Source organism: Homo sapiens, chromosome 3 (genome assembly GCF_000001405.40).
Source record: "Homo sapiens chromosome 3, GRCh38.p14 Primary Assembly".
Lineage (NCBI taxonomy): Eukaryota > Metazoa > Chordata > Mammalia > Primates > Hominidae > Homo > Homo sapiens.
Window position 1 is genome coordinate 49662654 of NC_000003.12, and position 9244 is coordinate 49671897.

The 9244-nt window shown below is 55.9% G+C and overlaps 1 protein-coding gene across 5 annotated transcripts in view, besides 2 other annotated features; it reads left to right on the forward strand.

Annotated features, from left to right (window-relative positions):
• BSN (bassoon presynaptic cytomatrix protein) overlaps nt 1-9244 on the forward strand; it is a 118654-nt gene that overhangs the window by 108177 nt on the left and 1233 nt on the right. For 2 of the 5 annotated variants that reach the window (NM_003458.4, XM_047449152.1), the window contains exons 7-12: nt 223-1013; nt 1134-1233; nt 1770-1901; nt 2146-2200; nt 2576-2665; nt 4937-8896. In NM_003458.4, the coding sequence (NP_003449.2) occupies nt 223-1013; nt 1134-1233; nt 1770-1901; nt 2146-2186 (1064 nt within the window). In that variant the 3' untranslated portion in view covers nt 2187-2200; nt 2576-2665; nt 4937-8896. Of the gene's footprint in view, nt 1-222; nt 1014-1133; nt 1234-1769; nt 1902-2145; nt 2201-2575; nt 2666-4244; nt 4708-4936; nt 8897-9244 lie in introns of those variants that run through there. The other 3 variants (XM_047449149.1, XM_047449151.1, XM_047449150.1) reach the window with 3 other exon arrangements.
• Nucleotides 3943-4237: a silencer, noted in NCBI's record as "tiled region #2684; K562 Repressive non-DNase unmatched - State 23:Low". NCBI's record gives its function as "represses a minimal TATA promoter and a strong SV40 promoter by Sharpr-MPRA in K562 cells {active_cell/tissue: K562}" and the evidence as "EXISTENCE:reporter gene assay evidence [ECO:0000049][PMID:27701403]".
• Nucleotides 3943-4237: an enhancer, noted in NCBI's record as "tiled region #2684; HepG2 Activating DNase matched - State 5:Enh". NCBI's record gives its function as "activates a minimal TATA promoter and a strong SV40 promoter by Sharpr-MPRA in HepG2 cells {active_cell/tissue: HepG2}" and the evidence as "EXISTENCE:reporter gene assay evidence [ECO:0000049][PMID:27701403]".

Below are 9244 nucleotides of genomic sequence, written 5' to 3' on the forward strand. Positions count from 1 at the left end.
GGTCTGGTCTGGCGCCTCATCTGGTGGGCCCTGCTGCAGGCAGGCTGCCCTTGCCTGCTCCATCTGTGCCCTGGTCCGTGGTTGCGGGAGGGTGGGCTGGGGGCCTGCTGATCTGCTTGTGGCTGTGGCACCCACTCTCTTGGTTTCTTTGCATGGCTTCAGCTAGGCCTCCCCCTGCGGCTAGCCCGGGGGTTGATGGTATTCTGTTTTTGGTCTCTGAAGCGTATCACCTGGGCCAGGAGGAGACGGACTGGTTTGATAAGCCCCGGGATGCCCGCTCTGACCGGTTCAGGCACCACGGGGGCCATGCAGTTTCCTCCTCCTCCCAGAAGCGAGGCCCTGCCAGGCACAGCTACCATGACTACGATGAACCCCCTGAGGAGGGCCTGTGGCCTCATGATGAGGGTGGCCCAGGCCGCCATGCCTCAGCCAAGGAACACCGGCACGGTGACCACGGGCGGCACTCAGGCCGCCACACTGGTGAGGAGCCGGGACGGCGTGCTGCCAAACCACACGCTCGGGACCTGGGTCGCCATGAGGCCCGGCCCCACTCTCAGCCCAGCTCTGCTCCAGCTATGCCGAAGAAGGGTCAGCCTGGGTATCCCAGCTCTGCTGAGTACTCACAGCCATCCCGTGCTTCATCCGCATACCATCATGCCTCTGACAGCAAGAAGGGCTCCCGGCAAGCCCACTCCGGGCCCGCTGCACTGCAGTCAAAGGCAGAACCCCAGGCGCAGCCGCAGCTGCAAGGTCGGCAGGCAGCTCCAGGACCACAGCAGTCACAGTCACCATCATCCAGGCAAATACCCTCTGGGGCAGCATCACGCCAGCCACAGACACAGCAGCAGCAGCAAGGTCTTGGGCTGCAGCCCCCACAGCAGGCTCTGACACAGGCTCGGCTGCAGCAACAGAGCCAGCCAACCACCCGGGGCTCAGCCCCTGCTGCCAGCCAGCCTGCAGGGAAGCCTCAGCCAGGCCCCAGCACAGCCACAGGTCCTCAACCAGCAGGACCGGTAAGCAGAGCTCCCATGCATGGGTTGTAACCAGGGAAGATGCTATGAATGAAGCTTGGACATCCCCTTGGTTCCAGGCTGGGCATGGGCAGAATCTTAGCTATAGGTTCTGTGTTGCAGCCACGGGCAGAACAGACAAATGGCTCTAAAGGGACAGCCAAAGCACCGCAACAGGGGAGGGCTCCTCAGGCCCAGCCAGCACCAGGACCTGGACCTGCAGGTGAGCCTATCCTTTGACACCCTTGGCTGTGGCCCAGAGCACCCAGGCTGTTCTCTCTCTATACCACCTGTGCCCTGAGCTCCCCCACACTGCATGCCCTCACTAATCCCTGAGAAGGTGCCCCAGGGGCTGTAGACCTCCCCAGCAGAAAACAAGCCTGGGGTTAGAATAAGCCAATGAGGTCACCAGCACAGGGGCTTTAGGGCCCAAGCAGCTTTGGGCAGAGAAGCAGGAAGGCACTGGTGAGCACAGGGTGGGGACCATGGCTTCTTGCTCCCTCCTTCCTTCCCCTTTCCTGCTCTTCTCTGCCTTTTTTTCCCTTTCTTCTTCTTTCCCTTCCTCAACCTCCTTTTTTCTGCCTTCTCCCACCCCTTGTCTTCCTGTTCTTACCTTCTTCTCTTTATTTCCCTAGCCTCCTTCTCACCTTCCCACCTTATAGGGTACCTGTGTTCAGATTCTCTCGTGGGTACTTGCCCTCTTAGACCCTAAAGAGCCAGGCCGTGCATAGCTCATTATGGCGATTTCTTTCCTCCTAGGTGTGAAGGCTGGAGCCAGGCCTGGAGGAACCCCAGGGGCTCCCGCCGGCCAGCCAGGTGCCGATGGGGAGAGCGTGTTCTCCAAGATCCTCCCTGGCGGGGCAGCCGAGCAAGCTGGCAAACTGACGGAAGGTATGCACTGCCTGCAACTGGTCTGTGGTGGGTGGCTACTCTGGTACAGGCTGGGTCTGTGAGATGATTCCAGACTCAGTCACCCAGGCAGAGGCCAGCCAGAGAGCCCACCTGCTGATGCCCAGTTGTTCTCCGGGCAATCTCTGCCCCTTGGGCTGAGCTTGCCTTCACTATGCCAAGTGGCCCTGACTGGGAGGGGTCTGGCCCAATTTCCTGATGGCTCTCTCCTCTTTCTTTGTCACAGCTGTCTCTGCTTTTGGCAAAAAATTTTCCTCATTCTGGTGACCATGCCCAGCATGGTGAGTACAAGCAGCCTGTACCTTGCCTCTTCTGGGAAAGGCCCGAGGCACTGGGGGTGGGGGTGGGGCTCTAAGTCCGAAGGGGTCCTCTGGGAGGAGTCCAGTCTTCGGCTGGTTCAGTACCCAGAGCTGCAATGTTCCCTTCTCTGAATGTGGGAGGAGAAAAAGGAGGGACACTGTGCACAGAGCCCCTACCATGGGGCCAACACAGTAGGGGTCCCCAGCAAAGGAGGGGCCAAAGCCAGGGCCAGTGCCCTGGCTTTCAAACCATCTGCCATCCCCTGCAGGGCTCTCACAGCACTGGGCTGGCACTGGGTTGTAGGTAGGCCTCCAGGGATGCAACTCCTCTCCAGCCCTCCTCTAAATGCTCCACAGGCTCTTGAAGAAATGAAGAGAGGTATCATTGCTGTGGAAAAATCTCTGGAGTCAGAGGCCTGGGCGCAGCTCTGGACTCTGCGTATAACAGTGAGTGTCAGGATCAGGGTGAGATGGGCCGGAGGAGGGGTGAAGGGCCAAGGCCTGGCTGATGACAGCTAGCCAGTTCTGACAAGTGTGAACTGGGAAGGGCCTGTTGGGTTTCCTTCAGCTGCGATGGGCCCAGCAGCCCTCTACCCCGCAGAGGCAGGGGCCACAGAGCTGCCTGAGATGGTGCCAGACAAGTCAGGTGGCACCCTTGGAGAAGAGCCCAGCACGGCTAACTGCACCTCACAACTTGAAGTCTATGTGCTGGGCACTGAGTTCAAAGTCATCCTGAAGGACCTGGTAGTCTGTGGCACCTGTAGGGGAACATGCTTCTTCCCTGATGTCTGCTGCTGGTGCCTTTGCTCCAGCCACTTGGAAGAGATTAGAGTCCCCAAACCCCACAGAGTCACATCTGCAGCTCTGGGAATGAAGTCAAAACACTCCTGGCTTCACAGGCTGAGCTTGTGGCCCACAGGATAGAAGAGTGGAAGGAGTAGAGAGGCAGACAGGAAGGGACATAGAGGAAAGGGAGTCTCAGCCCCAGACTAAGTCAGCTCAGGGAGAGGGCAGAAGGGCCTCAGGATGGGAGCCCTCACCCTGTCTGGGCTGCAGTGGCCAAGGCAGGTTGGGACACCACTTCCTGGAGCCTGTCCTGGCCCTGGCCCTGGCCCTGGCCTTGGCCCTGCCTCTGTGGGAGGAGGAGGAAGTGCATCATCCTGGGTGGGAGGAGAATCACCTGGCTGTTGGTACAGCTCTGTGCACAGCCAGGACCACTGACCATCATCCCATAGCCCTCGGACCCTCCTCTTCTCCCTCCTTGCCCCTTCAGGGTGCTTCTCACGGTGCACAAGCATGTATGTGTTATCCATGGCGGGGCCTGGCGGTCAGTGAGCAGGTCACTTCAAGGGAGCCCTGGGGCTGGCAGATGCTGGGCCCGGGCCAGCACTGGTTGTGGGAGGGAAGGAGCTAGGTGTGATACCTCACAGGCTACCTTTCTCTGGAAAAGCAGTGGGGCCCTGGAAAGGCCCAGGCTTCCGTCCATTTATTCAACAAATGTTTGTCAAGCCCCAGGTATGTGCCAGGCACTCTTCCAGGATCTGGGGATATGGCAGAGAACAAAACCAAGTCCCTGCCCTCTGAAGCTGACAATCCATTAAAGGAGATAGAGAATAAATAAGTTTAAAAATAAAATTCAATTAAAAAGGTACTTTCTGAAAGTGATGAGTGTTATAAAGCCAGAGAAGCAGAGCTATGGAAGCAGTGGGGTCTGCTCTAGACAAAGTGCTCAGAGCAGAAGATATGTGAGGGAAGCTTGAGGGAGGAGGACGACTGCGGTGGGATGAAAAAAGGGGAGGGAACAGCACTGACGGATGATCGGATGCTGGGATGGGACCAGGGACAGGGCAAAGGCCAGTATAGCCAGGGCCACAGTGGAGGGGAGAGGTGGTCAGGGGTAAAGTCCAAGGGGGTGGGAGCCAGCTGGGGTGGGTTGTGCAGGCCAAGTAAGGAGCCTGGAATTTATTCTAATTACAGTAGCCATAGTGCAGCCCTTAGCGTTCTTCCTGCCTTCACCCTCCCACAGCGGGCTTCCTGCGGCTTCCCGCTCAGCTGATGTTTCCTTGGAGTTGCCCTGGAACAGATGTGAAATCACAAGTGGTGCTGAAAGTGGGGGAAGGAGGGACAGCCCATGGCCTGGATTCATGACAGTACCTACCTTGGGTTTGGGGCCAGGGTATGGCTCCTGAGCAGGGAAAGGAAGCACAGACACAGCTTTGTTCTGCGTCCTGCCACATGGTGTGGTTGGGCCACTGAGACCACTGACTTTATAGTTAAAGAAATCTCCCTTGAGTTCTAGCATTCGGCTAATGATTGGGTCAAGTGGACAGTGCTGCCGTGAGTATCCCTCTCCTGAAATTCTTTACGGCAATTTCAGAGATGGGCTTGGAGAGGTTTGCCATTTCAAACCAAATCCCTTCTCCATCACTCTTAAGCCAAAAAAAAAAAAAAAAAAGGAACTTTTGTTACATTAAAAGAAGTGTCCCTTCCTGGCTGACCTGATTCTTCTTTCTTGCTGTCCTCTCTGTGACCTCCAACCTGCCCAAGCACCCATCTCCCCAAGCCTGAGTGGCATGGCACCCCGTGGGTGAGGAGGTGGCCGCTAGCACAGGCAGATGGCTGAGAGGAATGTGAGGGTGAGAAGCAGCTATCTACAATTCTTGACAGAATCCTTTCTTTTCTTCTTTCCTTCCTCCCTCCCTCCTTTTCTCTTTCAAGCATCTACAATCTGGCAAACCCTTGGCCCAAAGACTCACCAGGTGGGACGTGGCAGGCAGGCCTCAGTTGAGGACGTGATGTTTTCTCACAGCAGCTGCCTGGGTGAAGCATCTGCTGGACAAGTCGGACCACTGGCCAGGGGACCTTTGATTGTCTTTCCAGAGATGCTGCTCTCTGCAGGGCACCACCTTCAAGGCACAGCCCTTGTTGGGAGGGAGAACCCTCTCCAGAAACCCTGCCACCATGGTGTCTTGCCGTACTTCCCACAGCCGCCTTTTTGCGGCCTGGCCGGCCAGGCTTCCCGTGCGTTATACACAGAGTTTGGGCACACACTGCCCTCCCTCCGAGATGCCAGAAGTTTTTCCACAGCCTTGGAGAGGGGCTTTGACTGAGGGCTGGGGGCCCTGGGCTCCGTTTCCTTCACATTCCAGCTGGCCCGGATCCCTCTGTGGCACAGGGCCCTGCCCGTCACATGCCCTCTGGGTGACATCGGAGCAGACCTCCATGTGGCCAGGGGTTGGGAGAACTTTACAAACATTAGGACCTAACACTGTCTCATCGCTGAAATAAGAGGCCATAGCACCGAAAAGCAGCGTGGGCGCCGGCTGAGGCTTCTCCCAGCCCGTGGGTGGCAGCGTGCTAGCACACTGCCACCATCTCAAAGCCATCCCCCTAGCCATCGTGAGCATCCCAGCGGCACCGCCATTGTCTCAACCAGCCGGCTCCTCGTCTGTACACCTGGGGATTTCTTTTGATTTCAAGAACAGCCTTAATCATTCCAGTTTGATTTACGTGTATACCTCATAAACATTTTTCTTTTGTTTCTCTCTCCCCCTTTCTCTCTTCTCTTGGCTCACTCCCTTGCCTCTCCCCCTCCACCACCACCTTGTGACTGATGGTTTGGTTTCCTCTCTGCTCTGCCCCTGCTCAGCACAGGGAGAATGTTGACTTAGAAGCAATAGGGGGCAGCAGGCCACCAAGAGCACAACCCCAGGGCGAGGTCTGGGGAGGCCTCCCAGCCCGCCTCTGTTTACTGTGCAATTCCAGTCGTTCTTAAGCCATCACCAGTGGGTGTACTCAGAGCAGAGGGGCCAGGACTTCTGCCAGCCAAGGGAAAGGCCCAGAGCCCTGTGCGGGGGAATGTGGCACTGTCTATCCATCCGGTGGACTGGGCAGCATTCCTCCCCAGGGCTCTTCCCTTGGGGGCCTCCTTTCATCTGGGGCACAGCCACAAGTCTCATCTCTAACGTTCTATGCAATGAAATATAAACCCTCAATGACAACTGTTAATATTTAATAAATTCCATGTTATGTATAAGGAGTTAATTGCAAACATGCAATTGAGAAACTGGATAGATACACTCATAAAACCCCCACCCCTCCCCACCCCACCCCTGCTCCCATTGTGTGTGTGAAATTCTCAGTCTGTGGCATGTTTGACCTGTGGCAGGACTCGCTGCTGCCAGGTGAGTCACCGCCTGTCCTGCAGTGGAGCATGCACAGCTCGCAGCCTCTTTGCACGATTTCATCCATTTTAAATGCTTGACCCTCTTGCTTGGAGTTCTTTTTGCCTCAGAACCTCTCCTTCAGGAGCACTTCTAGCTGACTTCTGCACAAGCTAGTGAGGACCTGCCAGAATTGTTGCCTGAGCGTGCCAGGCTGCAGGGCAGGCAGTAAAAGGCCCCCACATACCCTGCAGTTTTCTCTGTCCAGGACAGCAGGTAAAAAGGAATCCCCAGAGCAGACGCAATGGTAGGAGCCTGCACAGGATGTGTGTGTATGGACATTCTGAAGGTTTGCTGTAGGATATCTGTCTGTCTGTCATTTTCCCTTCCTACCCCAACCCTGAGCCAGAGGCATCTGACAGCCCTTTCCCAGAGGGCACCACGCAAGGGCAGAGCTGGGCGGCATCCACAGCCAGAGAGGCAGAGGCAAGAGCAGAGCCAGGCTGTGCCCGAGGGACCCCAGCTCTTGACTGCACCTGTTTCATGCCTCTCCTCTGTGGCTAGGAGGCTCAAAGGACTGTGAGCCAGGAGATCTGGGCTGGAGCTAGGGGGTCAATGGATGCTCAGGAAGAGCTGGGCCTTTGGCACTTGTGGTGAGAACAGTTGACAGTGGTCATCTGGAACTGTTCATATAAACAGTGGCTTCAAGCTAAGTTTCTTGTGAAGTTTCTCAATAGCAAATCTTACAGAAGGTCCTGTGTGACCCTCTCTGCATCTGTCCCCAGGACCTATGCTCCCTGCTCACCCCCTTCTCCAAAGCCCAAGCGTCCCGCTGCTCATCAGCTTTTTTACCATTGAGCCAGGAGTGCGGCAGGCAGTACCTGCCTGACCCTTCAAGGCCTGACCTTCGTCCAGAGTGCTCTGGTTTGCACCATGCATTTCTCAGGGGTCCGCATTTCTCATGCTTTTCTATAAGATCTACACACCCCTTCAGAGAGGGCTCCTCGCTCACCTCTGGTAGCTATGGATGGGACAGGAAGCTGCCAACCTTTGTGTTGGACTTAACACCCTTGCCTTTCTGGGACTTGGCCTCACCCCACCCATGGAATACCTGCCTCATCCCAAAGATCAGGTATGGGCTGAATGCAGCCATCTGAGCAAGGGCTGAGGGAAGCCATCACCTAACACCTCTGGCCACCCAGGACCAGGTCTGTGTGGGGATGTGCCTTGGAGACCAAGGCAATAGTCCTTTCCACTACAGGCCAGGGGATGGGACAAGAAGTAGGGAACAGGCAGGGAAATGTTAGGAGGTCAGCCTCCAGCAGGCCTAGTCTCAGGCTCTAAAGTACTGACTTTTCAGCAAATTTCCTTTCTGGCCAAGCCCTCTGAGTTTGAAATTCTGACATCTGCCACTCCTCATCCCCCACTGTACCCACAGGATACATCATCGCCCCTCTGTGAAGGTGGCTGGAGCAGGCCTCTGGTCCATGGACTGTCCTTCCTGGCCCTTGCATGGATGCAGTTGTGACTCTGGGGACAATGCAGCCAGAAGCTGAGGGACCAGCACTTGGTGCCTTGGAAAGTAGAGAGCAACAGACACATCTCCAAATGGGCAAGGAGTCTCTAGCATGCAGCCCAGGCCTTCTCCATACCCCTCTCCCCAGCATCATGAGCAAGGGCATTGCCTCCTCTCTCTGCTCACTTCAGGGCCCAGTGCACTCACTTCACAGTGACAGCCCTCCCCTACAATCCTTGGGCAGAGCATGTGGTCTGAGGGCCCACAGTGAAAGAACAGCAGTGGTGGCAACTATGCCTTGCCTTCTGGAGCCTGTAGGGAGTTTTCCAGGCAGGTCCTTTGCCAGGACAGCATGGTCCTGCCCTGTTGTCCCGTCTGCTCTCCTCTTACCCACCCCCATGCTGTAAATACTTGTCATCATGGACTCCAACAGGGTTAGAGGGACAGGCCTAATCAACTGAAACTCCTCGGAGATGCCATCTCTGTCTCCCTGGGTGCCAGCAGCCCTGCTGCCATGTGCACTGGGGTGGCACTGGAGAGCCATGGCAGTCGTGAGATATTGTATGTGTATGCACATGATCATGTGTGTATGTGCGTGCGTGCGTGCGTGTGTGTGTGTGTGTGTGTTTCTGCCTCATTCAGTTTCTGGGGTCAAATCAGCTCCTTCTCTCCAAGTGCACTACCCTGGAGAGTGGTGGCCACTCAATACCTTTTCCTCTAGCTTTCATGTCTTGTTTTTGCTTTCCCCTTCCTCCTCCCTCTCTCCCTTTCTTTCCTTCTCTCCTTCTTTATTTGAGGGGGGAAGAGTGCTGTACAAAGTCAAACAAACAAGTTTACAGTTGTAAGTGCAATGACCCGAGTCCTCCACATGACCTTGTGAATTGTGTGCTGTCCTTCTGTGCTCTGTGAGAACTCGTGGTACTTCAGTGTCCCTCCCCCTGTATTGTGACAAGGTAATTCTGTGGTATCAGAATAAAAGGACTTGATATAAACAACCTACAGACTGTTTCTGGGATGGTTTCTCAAGTGGGAAGGCTTAGCTGAAGGAGCAAATCCCCAAATTTGCGACAATCCTGTCCATGGTTAAAGGGAAAAGGATGGACAAAGTTGCAGAAGTGCTGGCACAGCACGGGGCTGAGTCCACACCAAGCCATCCAAAGACAATGGGCCCTCCACAAAGGTGCCCAAGGGGAGGTCCCAAGCTTGGACCTGGAGCAGGCAGTCAGTGCGCAGGCTGTTGAGGGACAGCACCTCCATGGCCTTCAGGTGTGTTGGCTGCATACACAGCTTTCTGGGACCTGGTTCCAGGGAGGCAGTGAACAAGTGCTGCCCCCTGGTGCTGCCAAC